We start from the raw sequence: 25,620 nt of genomic DNA on the forward strand, positions 1-25,620 counted from the left end.
AGAAAAACTAAAGACTCCACCAAAAAACCTCCTAGATTTAATAAGTAAATTCAGTAAAGTTGCAGGATACAAAATCGGCATACAAAAATCAGTAATATTTATATATTACCAATAACGATCTAGCTGAGGAAGAAATCAAGAAGGAAGTACCATTTACAATAGCTATAAAAAAACAAGGTACCTAGGAATACATTTAACCAAGGAGGTGAAAGATCTCTCCAAGGAAGACTACAAAATACTGATAAAAGAAATTGTAGATGACAAATAAATGGAAAAACATCCAATGCTCATGGATTGGAAGAATTAATATCATTAAAGTGACCGTACTATCCAAAGCAATCTACAGATTCAATGTAACCCCTATCAAAATACTAATGTCATGTTTTACAGAATTAGGAAAAAAATCCTAAATTCATATGAAATCAAAAAAGAGCCCTAATAGCCAAAGCAATCCTGACCAAAAAGAACAAAGCTGGGGGTATCACATTACCTGACTTCAAATTATATTACAAGGGTATAGTAACCGAAACAGCATGGTACTGGTGTAAAAATAGATGTATAGACAATGGCACAGAATAGAGAGTCCAGAAATTAAGCCACATATTTATAGCCAACTGATCTTTGACAACGCTACCAACAACATACATCAGAGAAAGGATACCCTCTTAAAGAAATGGTGCTGGAAAAATTGGATTGCCCTGTGCATAAGAATGAAATTGGACCCCAGTCTCTCACCATATACAAAAAATCAACTCAAGATGGATTAAAGACTTAAACGTTAAGACCTGAAACTATAAAAATACTAGAATAAAACCTAGGGAAAACTCTTCTGGACATTGATATAGGCAAAGAATCAGTGACTAAGACCTCAAAAACACAGGCAACTAAAACAGAAATAGACAAATGGGCCTTATCGAAACCAAAAAGCTTCAGCAGAGCAAAAGAAATCAGCAGGAGATTGAAGAGACAGCCTGTAGAATGAGAGAAAATGTTTGCAAACTATTTATCTGATAGGGAACTGATATCCAGAATATACAAGGAATTCAGACACTTCAACAACAGCAAAAACAAGAAGATCCCATTAAAAGGTGGGCAAAGACATGAATAGACTTTTTTTAAAAGAAGACATACACATGGCCTACACGTATATGAAGAAAAGCTCAGCATCACCAGTCATCAGAGAAATGCAAACCAAAACCAGAATGAGATGTCATCTTACCCCAGTCAGAATGGCTATTATTAAAAAGACAAAACAACAACAACAACAAAAAGAAAACAAGTATTTGCACGGATGCAGAGAAAAGGAAACTCTTAAAGATTTTTGGTGGGAATATAAATTAGTATAGCTTCTATGGAAAAGAGTATGGCGATTTCTTAAAGAACTGAAAATAGAATGAGCATTCAATTCAGCATTCCCACTGTTGAGTATCTACTTTGGGTAGATACTCAAAGGAAAAGAACGTGTCAGAAAGATACCTGTGCTCGTATGTTTATTGCGGCACTATTCACAATAACAAAGATGTAGAATCAACCTGAGTGTCCATCAGTGAATAAATGGATAAAGAAAATGTGGTCTATACACACAATAGAATGCTATTCAGACATAAAAAAAGAGTGAAATCGTGTCTTTTGCGGCAACGTTGGTGGAACTGGAAGTCATTATCTTAAGTGATAAGGCACAAGCCAGACATAGAAAGCCAGGTATTGCGTAAACCCTGACTTAATATGCAGTCTATGCATGTTAACAAAATTGCACCTGTACCCTATAAGTTTTGCTTTTTCTTTCTGAGACAGGGTCTCACTCTGTCACCTAGGCTGGAGTGCTTTGGCATGATCTTGGCTCACTGCAGCCTCTGCCTCCCGAGCTCCAGTGATCCTCCCATCTCAGCCTCCTGAGTAGCTGGGACTCCAAGCGCAAGCCACCATGCCTGGCTGATTTTTGTATTTTTTTGGTAGAGATGGGGTCTCACCATGTTGCCCAGGCTGGTCTTGAACTCCTGAGTTCAAACAGTCCGTCCGCCTCGGCCACCCAAAGTGCCGGGATTATTGGTGTGAGCCACTGTGCCTGGCCTAATTTTTTTTTTTTTTTTTTTTTTTTTAAGATATAAACCTTTGTGTTAGGCTACTGTAATTTGGGAGTTGTTTCTGTTGCATAATCTACCCTATTTTAACCTTTTCCCTCAGTTTGTTATTGACCCCTTATCCTAATTATTCTCAGTTCTCTCTTTGTTTTGTTAATAGGCTTTAGTTGTTCTTGTTATTCCATACAGTCTGACTTTGTCATTGAACCTTCCATGATTACATTGAAATGTAATGAAATTTGACCTTTTGAAATTTGAGACCTATCAAACATAAAGTAGATGTTTTCCAGTTCTCTCAAACAGTTCTTTCTGGGCACATTGTGTTATTTCAGAGTAGCTGTGATTAGTAGCCTTTCTTCCAGGTAGTGTCTTGGACAACCTCCTGGAACGTGGGGAGGGGCATATGAACTCCATTGAAAGAGCTAATGAGTCTTTATTAAGCTCAACATAGTCATTTGCTAGAGGGGAGAGGGTCAAAACCAGTGTCGTCTAGTAGAACTTTTGTGATTATGGAAATGTACTATATTTGCACACCGGCTCCATGAGGCTGTTGAGCACTTGAACTGTAGCTGGTGTGACTGAGGAACTGACTTTTAGTTTAAAATAGCCACATGTGACTAGTGGCTACCATATTGGGCAGTGCAGTAAGGGTCTTAGAACGCCATGGGGGTGACATAATGCCAGGTGAAAAAGGCAGAATATGAAAGTATATGTATGTTATTATTTAATATATAGAAATAATAAATTTAAAGTCCTATGCAAAGGAAAAAACACTAGTTAATAAGCACACCAAAATACTAACAGTGAATATTAGGTGCTGAAATTATGTATGAGTGTCTACTTCTATTTTTATGTTTTAAAAATACTTTAAAACTTTGCTAATAAAGATATATATGATAAACATGAGAAGAAAGAAAGAAGTGCTGTGGTACTAATATATATCGGCAAGTGAATATATCGGTTGAATAGAGCTGCCCAGATTTTTCTCCACAAGGTCCACATTTTACATTTTGCCCAGAGAAGCCCAGTTTGTGACTGTTTACTGTCTGGTGCTCTTTTTGATCAGTTGTGCTGTAACAAAAGTAAATTGAGAGAACAGTCCACAGATAGTATTTATGCAGCCATGTCAGAAAGAGAGTATGCTTTTTGAAATAATTTTCATATGTTGTAATCACACCTAAAATTATTTACAGTGTATTACAAAAAAGGGAACTATCTTAATATTTAAATTAACTTGGCCACATGTCTGCTGTACTTGAACACTAAAGAAACTGAACTATAGATAGTATGTCTCTTATAGCTTATAAGAAATGCTATTAGTGCACTCTAAATAATTAGGAACACCAATAGGAGTTGTAATTTGAATTATTTTTAGTAATATATGTCATATAGAATATAAAAAGATAGCACCATGTTTCTCGGAACATTATTACATAAGGGATGAGATTTTGAGAAGATTTGTGAACTTCTTCAAAACAATTCCTCACTGCTCCAAAAAACCCTTCATTATTAAATTACTTGTGTGAAGTGTGGCATTATGTTTGGTCTACTTCTTGGAAAGTATTTACTTATATAATAATTTAAGTACTTAGATCTGTTTTTTTTTTTTTGTTTTTTGTTTTTTTTGAGACGGAGTCTCGCTCTGTTGCCCAGGCTGGAATGCAGTGGCGCAGTCTCGGCTCACTGCAAGCTCTGCCTCCCAGGTTCACGCCATTCTACTGCCTCAGCCTCCCGAGTAGCTGGGACTACAGGTGCCTGCCACCACGCCCGGCTAACTTTTTGTATTTTTAGTAGAGATGGGGTTTCACCGTGTTAGCCAGGATGGTCTCGATCTCCTGACCTTGTGATCCGCCCGCCTCGGCCTCCCAAAGTGCTGGGATTACAGGCGTGAGCCACCGCGCCTGGCCAGGTCTGTTGTTTTTTTCTCCCCCTTAATGGACAAACCATTTGGGGTTTATTATATCACCCTGAAAACATGTAGACTAGATAAATAATTAAATACTTTCATTTAAAAATTTAGTTAAGTCCCTGGGCTGGTTATAAACTCTCATGCCCAGGGCTCTGACTCCTGGAGACCCAAAGTGGCATGTATTTAAACTTAGTGCAGGGTTTCCTGGGGGCTGCCATAGGAGTGAGCCTGGCTTGACGTCTGTTCTCGCCTTACTCCATCACACTGTCACTGCCGGGCAGCACAGAGCAATGTTAATATTGACCCCAGAGCCTGCATAGAGTTGTTCCAGCCTTTAGGGGATAATTTTCATTGGACCAAGGCTATTTTTAATCCTAAGGTCTTTAAAAGGGCTTGCAGTTGTGTACTAGGTGTACAACTGCAAGTATATGTATGTGCTGAGCTCTCTCTCTGGACTGCTTGGGGATAACGTAGTTTAAATGTATGGAGATTGCTCTGCAGATGTCTGTGTTCTAAAAACAAGTAGAAAACTGGACAGCAAAGAGAGGTTGTTGTATTTCCATATTCCTCCTCCTTTGCACTTAACCACCTTGGGTTCTTTGCACTGTCATATTAGAACTTTGTTGTAGAGAACTGCAATGTTACCTGAAAGAGGAAAGGCCCTGATAGGACTAGAACTAGATTATTATAAATGAAGATGATCTCATAGTTGGTTGTTTTTTTTTTTTAAGGATAGTAAAGAAATTGAGTATTTTGTTCTAAAAGGCTAACATATTTTAAATAATTACTATTCTTCATATAATCCTATTAGTAACAGAACTTGTAATACTAAGCATATAAAAACAATTTGAGTGTGGTAGTCTTTAACAATACCTTCAATTTGTATGCTATTTGGAGAAATGCACATACCCCAAAATACACAGATAGACTTTTCATTTTCCCATGCAACAGACTTGTGAGAGGTTGAAAGGTAGGAAGAGTCAGTATACATTATTCTGTTTTACAGATGAGAAAACAATGACCCTGGGAAGCTGTGGGCACAAAAGCCAGCTATTAAGTGGCAGAGGTGGGACTGTGTGCAAAAACCTAAGATACTATGATTGCTGAACTAGTGTACTTTCCACTCGCCATCCTACCTCCGTGAATTAAAGATAACTCAAATGATATATAAACTTTTATGGGAACTATCTATATTGTTTTTACATTTTTAATAGAAACGATTTAAACTTTAAAGTAAAAAAGACAAATTTTAAAATAAGTGTTTCCATGTGGGAATACACATGAATTAGGATGATTTGGGCTAATTTTGCATAAGAGAAAGATAAGATGATTTGAAGGTCCTTTTCTCTTGGCACAAGCCTCTGAAGAGGGAAGGGAACGTTAAAAAAAAAAACACTTGATATATAGTGGTGCTTTTTCTTTAAAACTTTTTTATAGAATTTAAACTAAAATTTAACTTCGTATTGACTAAATTCCATGTTTGGAATGAGTGTAAAGGCAGATAGACAGTTTGAAATTTGAGTGTTTGCCAGTTGTGTTCCTCATCATGCCAGGTGAATAAACATGGGTTTTTGCCTGTGCTTGTCAAAACCAGCACTGACCCTCAGTGCTGTGACCATTAGAGGTAAGTTTCACCACGGTGGATCATACGTGAAGTAAGTTTTAATTAAACAGATAATTCGTGAACCAACATACCTAGGAGTCTCCTTTCAGTTCACAACTAGAAATAGTCTCTAATTTGGTCAAATGTTTACCCCTCTACCAAAGGCTTGCTGCTTAGGTAGAGAAAGCTTAGTGCCCGGTATTCTGTACGTGGGTCATCTGCTAACAGTTTGAGTTAAAGCAAGGAGAATGAATACTCTTTAGCTCCAAGAACATTTAGATCTGTCATTATGGTACAGGAAGAAGCCATCGTGTGGTTGGTGCTTCTGTCTAAAAACCCCAGTTATTACTATCCACTGAAAAGTACTGCATAGATGAATGTAGAGTAGTCTGAAGCTACTTGTCAGCCTTTACTTTCTTTTTCTTTCTTTTCCTTGGTCCTCTGCAGTCTGTACTGTGTAGATTTTAATCACTCATGACTATAGATATAACCAGTTATTTTAAAATTTCATGCAATCAGATTTTGGACAAGTTGTAAGAACGGTTCTCTTAAGGATAATAATGCAAGCAAAGGTTTTAACCAGCTTTGAGATCATGTGGGCGTTCAATATGCTTTGCTTTATTTTGCCTTCGTATGCTGATTTTGTCTCACCTCCTTGAATCCTTTCACTTGGCTAAATAAATGTGAACTCTCTATCGACAACAAAAAGAATCTTATGGTTGGCTTGAGATCACATTTTAAAGTAAACATAATAAAACTAAAACAATATATCAGTCTTTACAGTGAATCCAATCTTTCATGGTGTCAATTTTTAAGGCCTTTGAGTTGTACAGTGAAACGAATATTTTAGAGGTTCTGTGGTAGACAATTGTGTAGAACAGCATTCTTCTGATATCCTTGTATCCTCTGGGTTTGATGTATATATTATTGGATTCAATTACCTGAAAATTTGTGTAAAATTTTTGCATCTGTACTCATGAGGCATATTGGTCTTCTTTGTTTCTTATAATGTCTTTTTTTTGTTTTTTTTTTTTGAGACGGAGCCTCGCTCTGTTGCCCAGGCTCGAGTGCAGTGGCGTGATCTCGGCTCACTGCAAGCTCTACCTCCCGGGTTCACGCCATTCTCCTGCCTCAGCCTTCCGAGTAGCTGGGACTACAAGCGCCTGCCACCACGCCTGGCTAATTTTTTTGTATTTTAGTAGAGACAGGGTTTCACCGTGTTAGCCAGGATGGTATCGATCTCCTGACCTCGTGATCCACCCGCCTCGGCCTCCCAAAGTGCTGGGATTACAGGCGTGAGCCACCTCGCTCAGCCTGTTTCTTGTAATATCTTTATTGGCTTTTGGTATCAGTTTAATGCTGTCTTCATAACATGATTTGAGAAGTATTGGGAAAGTTTGTATAGAATTGGAATTACGCTTTTCTTAAATATTTGGTAGAATTCACCTTTGAAACTATATGGGCCTAGCAATTTCTTTGTGAATTTTAAACTATAAATTCAATTCCCTTTATAGATATAGGACTGTTCATTCTGTTTCTTCTTGAGTAGGCTTTGGTAGTTTGTATCTTTCAAGGAATTTTTCCATTTCATTTAAGTTATTGAATTTATTGGTATAAAGTTTTTCTAATATGCCTTATTCTCATTTTTATACCTATAGAATCTGTAGTGATCTCACCTCTCTCATTCCTGATACTGGTAATCTATGTCTTCTCTCTTTCCTGATCAGTCTGGCTAGAGGTTAAAGAACCTGTTTTTGGTTTTATTGTTTTTCTGCTTTCTATTTCACTGGTTTCTGCTCTGAGCTTTTTTCTGCTTAGTTTAGGCTTCGTTTGCTCTTCTTTGTCTAGTTTCTTAAGGTGAAAACTGAGATCATTGATTTAAGACCTTTTCTAATGTAGACAGTGCTCTACATTTCTTTCTCAGGACTGCTTTTGTGGCATCCTAAAAATATTGATAGGTTGTGTTTTCATTTATATTCAGTTCAAAATATAGTACTTCCTAATTGGCATGATCTCGACTCGCTGCAGCCGCCTCCTCCTCCCAGGTTCAAGTGATTCTTTCACCTCAGCCTCCCAAGTAGCTGGGACTACAAGCGTCCGCCACCATGCCCGGCTAATTTTTTTGTATTTTTAGTAGACGGGGTTTCACCGTGTTAGCCAGGATGGTCTCGATCTCCTGACCTCGTGATCCGCCTGCCTCGGCCTCCCAAAGTGCTGGGATTACAGGCGTGAGCCACTGTGCCTAGCCTCCCCTATTGTTTAGAAATATGTTTTTAGTTCTCAAATGTTTGGAAGCTTTTCCAGACATCTTGATGTTACCAGTTATAATTCCATGTGGTCAGAGAACATGCATGTATGATTGAATTCTTTTAAGCTTATTGCACCTTTTCTGTGGCCAAAGATACAGTTTATCTTAGGTCAAGTTGGTTAATAATGTTGTTCTCTCTATATCCTTACTGGTTTTTTTGTGTATTTCTTCTTGCAGTGACTGACAAGGAGGTTTTGAGATCTAGTGTAATTGTGGACTTGTTTATTTATCTTTGCAGTTCTACCAATTTTTGTTTCATATGTTTTGCAAGTATGCTGTTAGATGTATAATATAAAGGACTGGTATGGCCTTTTGATACATCTATCCCTTTATCATTATGAATTGACCTTCTTTATCTCTGTTAGTATTTTTTGCGCCAAAATCTACTTTTGTTAGAAACTGATGTAGACACTCTAGCTTTTTTATTAATGTTAGTGTAAAATTTTTTCTCCTTTTACTTTTAACCTATTTGTGTCTTTATATTTAAAGTGGATTTTATACACCTATAACATTCAAACCAAGAACCAAATCAAGAATACATTCCCAGGCTGGGTGAAGTGGCTCACGCCTGTAATTGTAGCACTTTGGGAGGCCGAGGCTGGTGGATCACGAGGTCAGGAGTTCAAGACCAGCCTGGCCAAGATGGTGAAACCCCGTCTCTACTAAAAATACAAAAATTAGCTGGGCATGGTGGTGGGCATCTGTAATCCCAGCTACTCGGGAGGCCGAGGCAGAGAATTTTTAGAACCCAGGAGGCGGAGTTTGCAGTGAGCCAAAGTTGCACCACTGCACTTGAGCCTGGGCAACAGAGCAAGACTCCGTCTCAAAAAAAAAAAAAAAAAAAGAATACACTCCCTGGACTGGCAGTAGTTCAGTGATTCCTTCAAGAGAGAACACTCCCATTTACAATAGACACACACACACACACACTACCTAGGAGTACATCTCACGAAGGAGGTGAAAGATCTCTGCAAGAAGGACGATAAAATCATGGATAACACAAACTAATGGAAAAATATTTCATGTTCATGGACTGGAAGAATTGATATCATTACAATGGCCATACAGCCCAAAGCAGTCTACATATTCAACACTGTTCCCATCAAACTACTAATGTCATTTTTCACAGAACTGGAAAAAAAAAAAAACTATTACAAAATTCGTGTGGAACCAAAAAACAGCCAGAGTAGCCGAAGCAATCCAAAGCAAAAAGAACAAAACTAGTGGTTTCGTGTTACCTGACTTCAAACTATACTGTAAGGCTACAGTAACCAAAACAGCATGGTACTGGTACAAAAACAGATATGTAGACCAATGGAACGGAATAGAGAACCCAGAAATAAAGGTGTACACCTGTAGCCATCGAATCTTCAACAAAGTTGACAAAAATAAGCAACAGGAAAAGGACTCCCTATTCAATAAATGGTCCTGGAATAGCTTACTAGCCATATGCAGAGGAATGAAAATGGACCCCTACCTTTCAGCATATATAAAAATTGACCCAACATGGATTATAGATACTTAAATGTAAGACCTCAAACTATAAAAACCCTAGGAAAAAAACTTGGAAACACCATTCTGGCCTTAGGAAAGAATTTGTGACTAAGTCCTCAAAAGCAATTGCAACAAAAACGAACATTGACAAATGAGATCTAATTAAGCCAAAGAGCTTATGTACAGCAAAAGAAATTATCAATAGAGTAAACGGTGTACAGTATTAATAGATACACCATTTCATATACAGACCACCTACAGAATAGGAGAAAATATTTGCAAACTGTGCATCTGACACAGGTCCAATATCCAGAATCTATTGGAAACTTAAACAGTTCAACAAGAAAAAAAAGACCCCACTAAAAAGTGGGCAAAAGACATGAACAGACAATTTTCAAAAGAAGACATACAAGCAGCCAACAAATGTATAAAAAAAGTTCCACATCGCTGATTATCAGAGAAATGCAAATCAAAACCACAATGAGTTAACATCTCACAACAGTCAGAATGGCTGTCATTAGAAGTTAAAAAACAGATGCTAATGAGGCTGCAGAGAAAAGGGAACACTCATGCACTGTTGGTGGGAATCTAAATTAGTTCAGCCACTGTGGAAAGCAGTTTGGAGATTTCTCAAAGAACTTAAAACAGAACTACCATTTGACCCAGCAATCCCATTACTAGCTACATCTCAGAAAAGAAATTATTCTACCAAAAAGACACATGTACTCATATGTTCATCACGGCACTATTCACACTAGCAAAGATACGGAATCAACCTAGGTGCCCATCAACAGTGGATTGCATAAATAAAATGTGGTACATATATACCATGGAATACTATGCAGCCATTAAAAAAAGAATGAAACCATGTCCTTTGCAGCAACGTGGATGCAGCTGGAGGATAATATCCTAAGTGAATTAACGTAGGAACAGAAAATAAAATACTGTGTGTTCTCACTTAGAAGTGGGAGTTAAACATCAGTTACTTGTGGATGTAAAGGTGACAGCACTAAACACTGAAGACTGCTATAGTGATGAGGGAGGGAGGCAGTAGGTGTTGAAAAAACTAACTGTTGGGTACTGTACTCAGTACCTGGGCAATGGAATAATTCATACCCCAAACCTCAGCATCATGCAACATACCCAGGTAACAAACTTGCACACGTACCCCCTGAATCTAAAATAAAAGTTAAAAAGAAAAAAGAAGACGCCACATCTTACTTGGGTAGAGCAGGTAGAGAAGTTTGGGGAAAAGCTGGCATGTTTAGGCTACATCTACCAGATTGACATTTAGGAATATAAATTTGAATTCTGTGGAAAAAATTAAGTGGAGGGTTTGTTTTTTAATAGGCAGCATATAATTAGGTGTTGCTGTTTTAAAATTCAGTGTATCTCTGCCTTTTAATTGATGTGTTTAGGTCATTTACATTCATTATTATTAACAGCTATGTTATTAGAATTTGTCTTCAAATGATAAACCATTTTCATACAAGAACTTAATAATAGTATTCTTACATTTCCCCACTCCTGGCCTTTATCCTACTGTTGGCTTATGTTTTACTTATATGTATGTTATTAAATAAAAGCTCTACAATGTTTTGTATTATTTTTGTTTAAGCAATTGTCTTTTAAAGATATTTAAATAATAAGACAAATGTTGTTATTTCTGGTGCTCTTTGTTCCCTTGAATGGATCCACATTTTGTTCTGTCTTAGTCTGTTTTCTGTTGCTATAACAGAATGACACAGATTAGGTATTTATAAAGAATAGTTTATTTGGCTCACAGTTCCTGGAGGCTGGGAAGTCCAAAAGCATGGCACTGGCCTGTAGTGAGGGTCATGCCATGGCAGAAAGCATCACATGATGGGGAGGGTAAGAGGAGGCGAGAGTGCTTGAGACAGAAATGGGGCTGAACTTATCCTTTTATCAGGAGCCCACTCCTGTGACATGAAGTTGGAGCCCTCATGACCTAATCACCTCTTAAAGGTCTTACCTCTTAATACCATCACAATGGCAGTTAAATTTCAACATGAGGCTTGGAGGTGATATTTAAATCCATAGCATTTGCTGGCGATAAATTCCTTCAGTTTTTGCATATCAGAGAAAGCATTTGTTTCACTTTCATTTTGAAAGTTTTTAATTTTTTGCTTTTTATTTTTATTTTTTATTTCCATAGGTTTTTGGGGAACAGGTGATAGTTACATGAGTAAGTCCTTTAGTGGTGATTTCTGAGATTTTGGTGCACCCATCACCTGAGCGGCATACACTCTACCCAGTTTGTAGTCTTTTTATCTCTTACCCGTCTCCCACCCTTTCCCCCTGAATTTCCAAAGTCCACTGGTATCATTCTTATGCCTTTGCATCCTCATAGCTTAGCTCCCGCTTGTGAGTGAAAACATACAGTGTTTGGTTTTCTATTCCTATATTACTTCACTTAGAATAATGGTCTCTGGTTCCATCAGGGTCACTGCAAATGCCATTACTTCGTTCCTTTTTGTGGCTGAGTAGTAGTCCATGGTGTATATATATACACACATATATACACATATCTATATATATATACGTGTATATAGATACGTGTATATACGTGTATGTGTATACATATATACATGTATATATGTGTGTGTGTGTGTGTGTATATATATATATGTATATACATATACCACAATTTCTTTATCCCCTCATTGATTGATGGGCATTTGGGCTGGTACCATATTTTTGCAATAGCAAATTGTGCTGCTATAAATACGAACGAGTGTGCAAGTATCTTTTTGAAAGACACTTTCAATGAGTATAGAATTCTAGGTTGACAGTTTTTTTTTCTTTTAGTACTTTAAAGTTTTTGCTCCATTATCTGCTCACTTGCATTGTTTCCAGCAAGAAAACTGAGGTCATACTTATCTTTTGTTTGCTATATTTAATGTTTCTTTTTTCTCTGAGTGCTTTAAAATTTTTCTGTTTATGACAAGTTTGAGTAATTTTATTATAGTGTTCTAGGGGTCGTTTTCTTCATATTTCTTGCACGTCTCCAGAATTGAGTGTGTTATTTAATTGACAATATCTCTGGCATCCTGAGATCCAAATGTTAAATGAATTATGGAAAATGTTTTGAAAGTCAGTTGGAAAAGTTCAGCTGGTGAAAGTTACAGAAAATCTTCGCTTTAATTTATCTAGTTGTCATAATTCAGAAAAGATAATATAGTAGAGAGGATTTTAAAAGTAGCAAAACATGTATTAGTGACACATTAATTTAGTAACTTAGTCCTGCGGTGAACTTAAAACTGTTGTCTTTATATTTAATGTGTGTAAAATTTACTACATAGTGATAGATAAATGCAAGAAACTCAGTCTTAAATCTTTGGGTAATGGTATTTGTCTTTCTGACTTGATGCTTTTACTAACATTTATTAACAATACTTTGAAAGTAATTTTTGGTAGCCCTCTTATTATCTGTTAAAATTCATGCAAAAGTTGAGTTTAGGAGGTTTACCTTTCATTACATTAGTTTTCATTTTCTAGTGGTTTGTAAATTAACCAGAACTCTAATATAAAGAATATTATGATTTAATAAAGCCATTGTTAGATTACTTTCACATATTGAAAGTATGTTAATTTGGGGGGAAGCCATTAAACTGAAAGTGTGTCATCTGTCATAAAAACTAAGAAATTCAACCTAGGTATATAAGAAGACAAGTTTCTTTTTTTTTTTTTAATTTATTATTATTATACTTTAAGTTTTAGGGTACATGTGCACAGTGTGCAGGTTAGTTACATATGTATACATGTGCCATGCTGGTGCGCTGCACCCACTAACTCGTCATCTAGCATTAGGTATATCTCCCAATGCTATCCCTCCCCCCTCCCCCCACACCACAACAGTCCCCAGAGTGTGATGTGCCCCTTCCTGTGTCCATGTGTTCTCATTGTTCAATTCCCACCTATGAGTGAGAATATGTGGTGTTTGGTTTTTTGTTCTTGCGATAGTTTACTGAGAATGATGATTTCCAGTTTCATCCATGTCCCTATAAAGGACATGAACTCATCATTTTTTATGGCTGCATAGTATTCCATGGTGTATATGTGCCACATTTTCTTAATCCAGTCTATCATTGTTGGACATTTGGGTTGGTTCCAAGTCTTTGCTATTGTGAATAATGCCGCAGTAAACATACGTGTGCATATGTCTTTATAGCAGCATGATTTATAGTCCTTTGGGTATATACCCAGTAATGGGATGGCTGGGTCAAATGGTATTTCTAGTTCTGGATCCCTGAGGAATCGCCACACTGACCTCCACAATGGTTGAACTAGTTTACAGTCCCACCAACAGTGTAAGAAGTGTTCCTATTTCTCCACATCCTCTCCAGCAAGAAGACAAGTTTCAATAGTTAAAACAGTATAGCCTGGCTGTAAAACAGATTGGTACTCCACCTTTATTTGTATGAAATCAGAGATGACCAGTCCTAAAGTTTCGAGCCTTACAAAGTAATTGATTACTTATATAAAACATAAAGAACTAATTTTTTTACCCATGTTTCAATGAAATTACTCTTCATCTACTTATTTCCGTTATACTTAGATATGAACTAGTGATTTATTAGTTGTTTTTCAGCATTACAGAAACAAAATTTTACTAGTCCAATCTCTTGAGATAGCAAAAAAAAAAAAAATTGGTATAATTGAGCAGAAGCAGAGCATCAACTCCTGAATTTTCATTTATTTTAAATGATACTAAGCTTTTTAAAAGTTCACAATGTTGTTTTAAGTTTTTTTAAAAATTTATTTATAAAGACAATGTCTCAATATGTTCCCCACACTGGAGCGCAGGGGTTATTCATAGGTACAGTCATGGTGCAGGACAGCCTCGAACTCCTGGGTTCAGGCAGTCTTCCCGCTTCAGCCTTCCAACTTGCTGGTACACAGGAAGGTACCACAGTGCCTGGATTCATTTTAGAAGTTTAAAATATCAAAGATGATGGGGGGAAAAATCAGTGTTCTAAGATACCAAAAATATTTTAATAAAGAGGGACAGTTTATTTGATTTTTTTTCCTCAAAAGGTCAATAATTTATTATTTATATATAATGCATACTTTTTTTCCTCTCTCATTTTTGTAGGTTCTGCCGGAGACTTCCATTTGGCCTCAATGTGAAATTAAAGTAGAAAATCACATCTACATGCATGTTGCTATCAGGATGTTGATTCATTAGTCATGCCTGAAGAGGGAAAGTCTGTTTTAGGTGGCTGACTACCAGCAAAAATAAATGCTTATCCTACATGTCAAGCATCTCTACTTTTTACTGGAGTGAAAATCCCCTCCAGATACCAACAGAATATCAACTGCAGAAAATGCTTCACATTTTAAGGATGTCGGCAACCTAAATTCATGTACCCTATCTGTACAGTTGTTGTGGATGGTTTGCCATCTGAAAGCTCCTCAAGTTCTTATCCAGGCCCTGTGTCTGTTTCTGAAATGTCTCTGCTTCATGCTTTGGGTCCAGTGCAGACCTGGCTGGGACAAGAGCTCGAGAAATGTGGCATTGATGCCATGATTTACACTCGGTATGTCCTCAGTCTTCTGCTGCATGACAGCTATGACTACGACCTGCAGGAACAGGTATTTACATATTTTAAGTGTTTTCTGAAAACTGATTGTATCTGTATGTATACATTCCTCTTAAACAAGCACTTTTATACTTTAAAACTGAGCTATTCATGTGTGTGTGCAAACATTTAACCTGTCAGTGACCAGATGGTAAGATTGCCTTGGAGTGTCAATCAGCCTGTGTCATTGAGCACCCTGTTAAGTGCAGTTATTTTCTCCATAGTTAGACTTTCTCACTGTTGGTTACGTTTTGGCATAGACTCCAGATCTTGTCATGGACTGGTCATAGTTTGGTGACCTGCTGCCTTTGAGTAGCAGTGCTCTGGAATGTTGATTTCTACTATTTAGAAAACTCACACATTATGAATAGATATTTAAACATTGCGTCTATTATACTTCTTGCCTTCCAAATTTAATATTGTATTTTATCTGCAAGAATGATGTTTATCTGCTTATTAGTCAGTATGTATGACAAATCAGTAGACTTAAAGTTCAGTAAAGCACACAATTTTGCTATAAGTCAGGATGTGTCACCTTGCAAGTTGGTCATTACACATTTTATTTGACTTTGCCGCTGAGTTTATAGTGAGAAATTGGGCTGGGTGTGGTGGTTCACACTTAGAGTCCCAACACTTTGGGAGGCCGAGGCGGGAGGATCCCTTTAAACCAGGAGTTTGAGACCAGCCTTGGCAACATAGAACCCAGTCTTTACAAAAAGTATTAAAAAATTAGCCAGGCATGGTAGCATGTGCCTGTAGTCAGTCCGTAGCTACTCAGGAGGCTGAGGTGGGAGGATCACTTGAGCCCAGAAAGTCGAGGCTGCAGTCAGCCATGATTGCGCCATTGCACTCCAGCCTTGGCAACAGAGCAAGACCCTGTCTCTCTCTCGCACGCATACACGAGAGAGAGAGAGAGAGAGAGAAAGAGAAAGCAAGAGAAACCAAATACAGGTTCTTGAAAAAAATGTTAACCTCAGTCTCATTCTTAAGAGGAGCTACTGAAAGTGAGGCCTGCCAGAGGGAACCAGAGTCATCAGTACTGAATAAATGGGCTCTGGGTGACTTCTATCTACAAATTTCACATAAAATCTTTTGGTTTTTATAGACAGTAAAAAGAAGGAGGTATTTTGTGGGCAGTTTTTGTTGCAGTTTTAAACCATCGTTACCCACACTGAGAGCAGGAAGGGTTTCATTGTCAGGAGATATTGGCTTTGCCCCTCCAGACCACACAAAAAAACTTCAAAGTCCTATAAATAACACATACAGAGGATTTCACCAAGATGCTTAACTTTTTTTGAGACAGGGTCTTGCTCTGTCACCCAGGCTGGAGTGCAGTGGTGTGATCATAGCTCACTGAAGCCTTGAACTCCTGGGCTCAAGCAATCCTCCCACCTCAGCCTCCCAAAGTGCTGGCATTACAGATGGGGAGCTACTCTTTCCAGCCAGCTTAACATGTTTTATACCTCAGTTGTGCAGAGCATGTTTGATGAGAGGGGTTTCTCATCATGTCTAGCTGGACACAGCGGCATTTTTCTTGCTTCCAGGTTGCTTGCTGCCTTGGCTGGCATTAGGTCAAGTAAGGTTTTGAAGGGATTAACTTATAACCTAATAATCAGCAAATGTGTTATTTTGGTGGTCAGTATTTTGTATAATTTCCTTACCAGAGCTCTGTTATCATCTTTCTGGTAAATGTCAAATATGCTCCTTTACAGGCAAGTAAGACGTTAAATCTACAAACATAGAAGGACTTTAATTTCCAGAAATGAGGAAAATATTTCTCATCATTCAAAAATTATGTACTTTATTGTAAGCATGTACTCATAGGGAATGATTTTTTTTTTTTTTTTTTTGGAGACAGGGTCTTGCTCTTTTGCCCAGGCTGGAGTGCAGTGGCGTGATCATAGCTCACTGCAGTCTTAACCTCCTGGGCTCAAGCGATCTTCCTGCCTCTGTCTCCTGAGTAGCTGGAACCACATGTGTGTGGCACCCCACCCAGCTAATTTTTAAAAAACTATGTCTCTTTCTGTTGCCTAGGCTGGAAAGAATAGTTTTTTAGTAGGACTTGAACTTCTCATTTCTTAAGAGTTGTATGTCAGCTATTTTCAGTCTACAATATTTAATCAACACCAATAAATTTACTAGCACAAAGTATGTGCTGGGTGCTACAGGACATATAGGATAAAACAGGCCAGATGTTAATAAGATTATAGTAATAACATCTCTGATCAGACTTGTGAATCCTCTGGTTTCTTTACTAACTCTAGGGGGTTGTGGTCAGAGATAAGATGAACTATCAGTATCTGCAGCTGTGTTTGATCCTCCCTCCAGAGTTCCGGTTCGTTCCTCAGGACACAGGACAGATAAAGGTTAGGGAAAACATAACATGTCTGGAGTTACAAGGAGAATCCGTAGGGAAATAAAAGGCCCTAAAATATTTTTCTACTTGGTCCAAAGTAACAGCCATGTGTGCCAAGTCCCACGCCAATGAAGAAGGTCAAATTTTAAATACCTGTTTTAGTAAGACATGACTTGAGAATCCTTTATCCCCTGCATTGCTTTTCCGTGAAGTTACAGTCCCTTGTTAAAGGTGGCAAAAGCCAGATGCCTGACTCAAAGGGAGGATGTACTTACGGTTTCCCCAGGCAGAGAGGATGCGGAAGACAAGGATGGTTCTCTTCTAGCAAGAGTAAGGAGAGTGGAAGGGGCCTTAGCTTCTGTCATCAGAACTCCAGCTAACAGCAAGGCTGACAGACCTGGGTGAAGATGTGTGCCACCTTTCCTGATCTCTGGCTCATGCCTGTGATAACGCAGCCCCTCGAGTGGAGGCCAAACCACTGTACTCCTGGGTGTTCATTTCCTCACATCTTCGCTCACCCCTTAGTCCTTGAGTTAGTCTAGCCATGAGCGGCCAGTTTGAAGACCCATCACTTTTCTGTTTTAGGCTAAAGCAAACACGCAGTGCTCTTGAGTTCTAAAACAGATTTTATGCATCAGTTTGGTCTCAGTTGTGCAGGATAAGGAAGTAAAGCTGATCAGATCCTAGTCTTGTTTAAGGCTGAATCATCTATAAACCTCTAATTTGGGCAGGGTTATAAACACATTTGTGGTGGTGGGCTGGTTACAATGTAGTTCCAGAGAACCACTGCCTTGTAATATGGAGATACGGTCACTGTGCCAGTAGTTTTATTTCCATAAATGTTTCTTCTTTCTTTTTTTTTTGGTCATGATTACTCTGTCTGGGAAGTATATTCTAAGATAATCAGGAAATCACTACATATCACTTTTATTTTATATAAACTGCTTTTCTCACCCATCTTTCAAAGCGTAGGTCACCTCTGTCTCTGAAACTTTTTCTGATAATTTCTGATGAAAGCAATGTCTTCTACCAAACTTGGTAATATTTTACTGTAAAGCTTTTCATTATCGTTACTGGAATGTATTCTGTTTCTCAGTAGGTTATAACATCCTTATGGGCAGAAATCATATATTAATCTTTTTTAAAAAAGTTTAACCAGCCTGGGCAACATAGTGAGACTCCATCTCTTAAAAAAAATTATCTGGATGCAGTGGGGTTTACCTGTAGTCCCAGCAACTTGGGAAGCTGAGGTAGGAGGATCGCTTGAGCCTGGGGGGTGGAGGCTGCAGTGAGCAGCGATCATGACGCTGCACTCCAGCCTTGGAAACACAGCGAGACCCTGTCTCTTAAAAAATAAATAAATTTAACTTTTTAAAATGAAATAATTTCAGACCTCACTAACAGCTAGGATAGTACAGGGAGCTCTCATGTTTTCTTCAGTCATCAATTGTTAGTATTTTCACACATTTGCTTTCTTTTATTGATATATAATAGTTGTACATATTTGTGGGTATTATGATTTTTGATACATGAATATAAGATGTTATCAAATCAGGGTATTTGAGTTACCTGTCTCCTTAAACATTTATCTTTTCTTTGTGTTGGAAATAGTCCAATTCTTTTCTCGCTATTTTGAAATATACAATAAATATTATTAGCTGTAGTCTCCCTACCATACTGTTGAATACTCGAAGTGACTCGTTGTTTACGTGTATGTTTGTACCCTTTAGCCCACTTTTCTTCATCTTCTACTTTTGCTTTATTTCTGTCTTCTCTTCATGCTGACCTCTCTGAGTAAACTAGCATGTACTTTTTAAGATCAAAGACTTTCCCTTAGTCATATTACAATTACAAAATTCAGGAAAATTAGCATTGATGAAACTTTATTGTCAGATATACAGTCAATATTCAGTTTTTGTCACCTGTCCCGATATTGTTTCTCATTGCAGTTTTCTCCCTCATCTAGTATCTAGTTTGAGATTATGCATCGACTTTAATGGCCACATCTCCTTAATCTCCTTTCATCTGTAATAATTCCTTGTTTTTCCCTGGCATCTCATGACATGGACACTTTTGGAGAGTCCAGGCCAGTTTTGCAAAACATCCCTTAATTTGGGTTTTTCGGATATTTCCTCGTATCTTTAGAGTTGGCTTGTGCATTTATGGTAGTAGCATTGCATAATGATGTTTTCTTTTTTTCTGCATATCACATTAGAGGGCCAGTGACGACAGTCTTTATCATTCTTGGAGACGCTGACTTGGTTTATCATGGTTCAGATGGTGTCTGCCAGGTTTCTCCTTGTAATGAATAAGCGATCTGTGCAGGGAGACTTTGATACTTTTACCATCCATTGATGTTCCTTGCCTGAATCAGTTATTAGTTGGGTGGTTGAAAAGTGGTGATTTTCCTAACTCAGTGATCCCCTCTACATTTAGTAGTTGACATTTTACTACAGTGCCTTCCATCTTTTAAAAATCAGTAGCCTGGTCACATAAGGAACATCACAGCATGTAAGATGCAGCACCAGCCACTTAATATGTAAGGATTGCCTTATTCAGTCTGCAAGCCAAACCTCGAAAGTAAGTATTAAGCTCCCACAGCCTGAAAGTGAATGGCATGGCAGTGTGCATTGACTGGTGACCTGGAACATTAAGCTTAGATCCTGTACATCTTACAACACATTTGTTACATTAGTTTAAAACATTTTACAGTCTTACTCAAAAAATGACTAAAAGGAGAACTTCAGTAACATTATAACTTAAAATGGGAGTTAACTTTTCCTGCCCAGAAGTTGTGCTAGACTGATAGTTGACAGTAGGTCTCCCCATGATCTGTCACAGGTGGGAAGGGATGCACTAGCAGATGAGGGTGTGTTTCAGTATTGTTCTTATAACCCCAAATATGCTTTCGTTTCCTTTATAGCTAATTAAACTACCATTGAGAGTTTATTAAAACTTTTCTTGTTATACATTGATGTTCTCAGCATAATGCATTCTTTGTTTATTATTCTTATTAGGAGTCTGTGATGATAACAGAAAACCCAGCTCAATCTGGCTTAAACAGAAGTAATAGTAAAAGCAAACACATATGTATCATGTGCTGTGTGCCAGCCACTGTTGAAGGCACTCATTTTCCATTCACGGTAACTCATTTAATCTTCCTTACACCATCCTGTTATTATTTGTATTTCATAAGTGGAGATAGTGACAGTGGTTAAATAGCTTGCCCAAGGCCACACAGCTAGTAAATTTTGGAGCATTTACTGGTTTAAAAAACTTGAAATATCTGGGAATTAGGGCTGACCCCAGTGGCAACTTGATCCAGGGCCTACAGTAAAATCAGTGCCCCGTCTTTTAGCTTGCCTTCTCTGTTGTCTTTTTTTTTTTTTTTTTTTTTTTGAGATGGAGCACTCACTGTGTTGCCCAGGCTAGAGTGCAGGGGCGATCTCAGCTCACTGCAGCCTCTGCCTCCTGGGTTCAAGTGATTCTCCTGCCTTAGGCTCCTGAGTAGCTAGATTACAGGCGTGCATTACCATGCCTGGGTAATTTTTATATTTTTAGTAGACACAGGGTTTCACCATGTTGGCCAGGCTGGTCTCGAACTCCTGGCCTCAAGTGATCCACCCACCTTGGCCTCCCAAAGTGCTGGGATTATAGGTGTGAGCTGCCATGCCCGGCCTGTTTTCTTTATTCTCAAGCTTCACCCCTACCCTGCCCGCTGTAAGCTCAGACTTACACCCTTTTTTGTGTATGTGTGTCCAGCAGAAAGAGCAGGCTTCTCATCCTAATAGGTCATCTTTGCTATGGAACTGTTCCTGACCTGATCACTGCAGTGACAAGACTTGGGTGGCTAGGGTACAAGCACCTGGAACCACAAGGACTAAGAATTGGAGAGGATGATTCTCCAAGGGAAATATGGAATGAGTAAGTAGGGTGCTGAACCACCCCAAAAAAGTCCTGTCTAACTACCTTTGTACAAAGTAGTGCTTTCTTTCTCTTTTTTTTTATTTTTTATTTTTTAAAATTTATTTATTTATTATTTTTTTGAGACGGAGTCTCGCCCTGTCGCCCAGGCTGGAATGCAGTGGTGCGACCTCGGCTCACTGCAACCTCCACCTCCCAGGTTCAAGCGATTCTCCTGCCCCAGCCTCCCAAGTAGCTGGGATTACAGGTGCGCGCCACCACGCCCAGCTAATTTTTGTATTTTTAGTGGAGACAGGGTTTCACTATGTTGGTCAGGCTGGTCTCGAAGTCTTGACCTCGTGATCCGCCCGCCTCGGCCTCCCAAAGCGCTGGGATTACAGGCGTGAGCCACCACACCTGGCCGATTTTGTTGTCTTTTTCTAGAAGTTTTTTCTTTGCAGACCACCTCCAAAAGTATCCTTTCGTGATGGCCCCTCCATCTGAGTGATGGCTTTAGGTGGTGTTGGATGGTTAGATTTCTTTTTTTAGATCTTAGGACTCCCAGAACTTTACTAACTGTTCCATATAGAGAACAACCATGGATTCTGTACAAGAATAAGAGGTTTTTTTCCCTAAACTTTTTATTGAGGCATAAAATGCATACAGAAAAATGTACAACTTGATGAATTTTCACAAAGATCATATCCCTGTAACTATAGCCACACACAGAAATGGAAGATTACTGGCAACCCAGAAGCCCCCCTCGTGTCCCACACAGCTTTAGAGTTCCTCACATGCTCAGAGGGGAGGCCAGCAGAGTGCCCTCTGCTTCCAACCCCTTCCTCTTGCTTGGACCTTGGCATCTGTATCTCAGGTGTTCTCCCTCTGGCCCTAAGAGTTCACTCCAAGTTCTGCTGCTTTCTTTGCCTCTTCAAAGGGCCACCTTTTTCTCAGCCTCTTGTCCCGGACCTAGGTCAGCATATTTCCCCAGGAAGGAAGCAGCTGCAGATGTCAGTGCCCTATGCCCACACCTACCTTTCCCTTGGCACTCACTGTCTTCTCAATGCCTGGCACCTCAGCAGGGCTCTGATGCCCTGCAGAAGGTGATGTAGGTTTGGTTTGTCTTTGTGTCGTTATTGGCTTTTCTAGTTAATCTAGGCAAGAGAGTTGTGCTGCCACCAATTACTTTTTAAAAGAGAGTATTTATTTGTTTAATGGCATAGTTTGGTTTTGATATATATTTTGTCTTATCCTCAGTCTTTCCCTGACCCACTGTATTTAAAATAGAAGCCTCCCATTCTCAGCCCTCTTACCTAATTTATTTTTCTTCATGACATTTTTTATTACCTGAAATTATATGATTACTTGTGATTTAATTATGTCTCCCCTACTGGCATATGTAATTCATGAAGTTGGGGCCTTTTTTTTTTTTTTTGGAGAGGGACTCTTGCTGTGTTGCCTAGGCTGGAGTGTAGTGGCGTGATCTCGGCTCACTGCAACCTCCACCTCCCAGGTTCAAGCGATTCTCCTGCCTCAGCCACCCGAGTAGCTGGCATTACAGGCGCCCACCACCACACCTGGCTAATTTTTGTATTTTTAGTAGAGATGGGGTTTCACCATGTGGGCCAGGCTGGTCTCGAGCTCCTGACCTCAAGTGATCTGCCTGCCTTGGCCTCCCAAAGTGCTGGGATTACAGAAGTGAACCACCACGCCCAGCCAGAGTTGGGGACCTTTTCTGCTATGTTTTCTGTTGGATTCCCAGCCCTTAAAACAGTTCCTGGAATATACAAGAGGCTCAGATACGTATTAGACAAATGGATAGCCACATGTTTCTTTCTCAGGTCTGTGACTTGTGTGTAGGAGGGAAGCATGCTAGGAGTGGGTGTAGACCCCATAATCACACACTGGGGCCTGCCCTGCAGAGAAGTTACTGTTGCTTGTTTTAAATCCCCTAATCAAATTGTATCTACTAGCTCAGAGTCCATCCTTCTAGAAATGTAACTGGATTATTACATTATCTGTATTTGCCCACAGGTTGTATAAATAATAATCCCAGTCCTGAGTGCTAGGTGAGACTCATCCCTTCTTCATTCAACAGACCTTATTTGCTCCTTCAGCCTATTTGTAACATACTCCTGTAGCGTGTCCCGTTCAGCATTACGCTTCTTGAAAAGCTAGCATCTGCGGTGTTTCCTGTTACAGTTTATTAGAATCTTTAACAATAGGAACTGTAAAAGTCTGACCATAAAGCGCTCCTCGTGTGTGTCACTGCATACACTGTATTTCAACAAACATTCAACAGACTTTAATTAAATAACCTTCTACATCACAAGCATTGTTATTTGCATTTAAACAACACTTCCTATTTTTATTCTCTTATTTCAAATCAGCATTTCAGAGCTCCAGGAAGAAAGCCAGGAGTATCTTTCTAGAACCTTCCCTATCCCTGAAAACTTCCTAAGAATTATTCCATGCTATTACTTGAGCCCAGGAGTTTGAAACTAGCCTGGGCAACATGGAGAAACCCTGTCTCTACAAATAATACAAAAATTAGCCAGGCATGGTGGTGTGTGCCTGTAGTCTCAGCTGCTCGGGAGGCTGAGGTTGGAGGATCACCTGAGCCCAGGGAGGTCGAGGCTGCAGTGAGCCATGATTGTGTCACTGCACTCCAGCCTAGGCAACAGAGTGAGACTGCATCTCAAAAAAAGGAAAAAAAGAAAAAAAAAGGAAGAAGAAAGTGTTCATGCTACTGATGGAAGAGTATATACATGCCAGTATTCACTTTGACTCCCATAGTGACAAAAACCTTTCTGGGTAGTAGGTATGAAATAGCATATACATCACTGGATAATTCATGAAGAATTAAGCAGGAGATATCAGAAGGGTTATAGGGTGAAAAAACTTGTACTACTGACCCAGACCAAAAGTTCCTTTAATACCACCTTGACTTTTATCCCAAGTGACTTTCAGACCTGCAGTCTCCTGTTCTCTCTTTCCCTTTTGAGATTTCCCCCGCTTACTGTAAGTCAGTATCACATTGTTAAGAACATAGGCCTTGGAATCTGAAGACCTGTGTTCTAACCCCACCTTCTTCACTTTCCAACTTAGACCACTGACTTGGACAAGTTAACATCTCTGTGCCTGACTCTCCATTTCTTTTCTTATTATTATTATTATTTTAGAGATAGGGTCTTGCTTTCGCCCAGGCTGGAGTGCAGTGTTTCTCAGAGCTCACTGAGCCTCGAACTCTTGGGCTCAAGGGTCCTCCTGTCTCAGCCTTCCAAGTAGCTGGCACTACAGCTGTCTTTTCATTTATAAATTGTACAAATTATGTGCATATCTAATATCGTTACTGAGGATTAAAGGAGATTCATTTATTGACCATATAGGTGCCAGGCATCATTTTATGTACTGATAATATAGTTAGAGGAATACTAGACACAAAGTAAGTGCTCAGTAAATATTGACAACTATTGCTATTATTGTTGCTATTCATACAAATATTTCCTTCAAATAGTTATTTTCCTATTAACTACTCCTCTTCTAGCAGGTAGGCTAATGCATTTGTTAGAGGCAAAGATAAGCTGCTGATACAGTATTTCCAACATTTACCCTAACAATCTCAATTTGAAATATTTAGCCCTGCCATATATCCTAATTATGCATTCAGCAAACATGGTCACTATAATATTTCTGGATGTAATTATTACCTTTGACACAATTGGGTCCCTTGAAAAGGTGTTCTTTAAGACTGACAAATTCCAGTGGCAATTACTCTTATTTTTTGTGACATGATGACCAGGTTAAAAAAATAATAAATTTTAAGAAACTAAAGTAAAAATCTTTTGATGGTACATATAGATAGAATGAACCTGGATTTGTTCACTGTAAAAGTTATAATGGGAGGGGTAGGGGTGGTTCTCTTGAGTTTAAAAGAGAGTTGTTTAGCACAAAAGAAATACTTTTATTTGTGGTAAGAGTGTTGTTGCCCAAGAAACTGCCCCAAAACTTAGTAGCATTAAAACAACAACAACAACACGATCATATGACAGAATCTGTAAGTAAGGAATTTGGGCAGGGCTTAATTGGGTGATTCACCCAAAGTCACTCATTGGTACTCAGCTGACAGACAGGCTGAGCTGGAAGGCCCAAGATAGCTTTACTGACATGTCTGTCATCTTGGCAGGTGTGCTAGAGGGCTGGACTCAGCTGGGATTGTTGACCAGAGCCTCTTCATGTGGGTCAGGAAGTAGCTAGGCTTATGTGGTTGGCTGGGTCCCTCAAAGCGAGTAGCCCAAGAGAATCAGGTAGAAGCTTAAGGCCTTTTACCACCGAGCCTTGAAAGTCACATAGAATCACTTCC

At 38.9% G+C, this 25,620-nt stretch overlaps 1 protein-coding gene across 22 annotated transcripts in view; it reads left to right on the forward strand.

Annotated features, from left to right (window-relative positions):
- The window catches only part of KIAA0232, a 101,438-nt gene that overhangs the window by 26,947 nt on the left and 48,871 nt on the right, over nt 1-25,620 (forward strand). For 20 of the 22 annotated variants that reach the window (XM_047416450.1, XM_047416446.1, XM_047416453.1 and 17 more), the window contains one exon: nt 14,512-15,011. In XM_047416450.1, coding sequence (XP_047272406.1) covers nt 14,781-15,011 — 231 coding nt within the window. In that variant the 5' untranslated portion in view covers nt 14,512-14,780. Of the gene's footprint in view, nt 1-14,511; nt 15,012-20,371; nt 20,498-21,001; nt 21,279-25,620 lie in introns of those variants that run through there. The other 2 variants (XM_011513598.4, XM_024454290.2) reach the window with 2 other exon arrangements.

Source organism: Homo sapiens, chromosome 4, assembly GCF_000001405.40.
Source record: "Homo sapiens chromosome 4, GRCh38.p14 Primary Assembly".
In the NCBI taxonomy this organism is placed as follows: domain Eukaryota; kingdom Metazoa; phylum Chordata; class Mammalia; order Primates; family Hominidae; genus Homo; species Homo sapiens.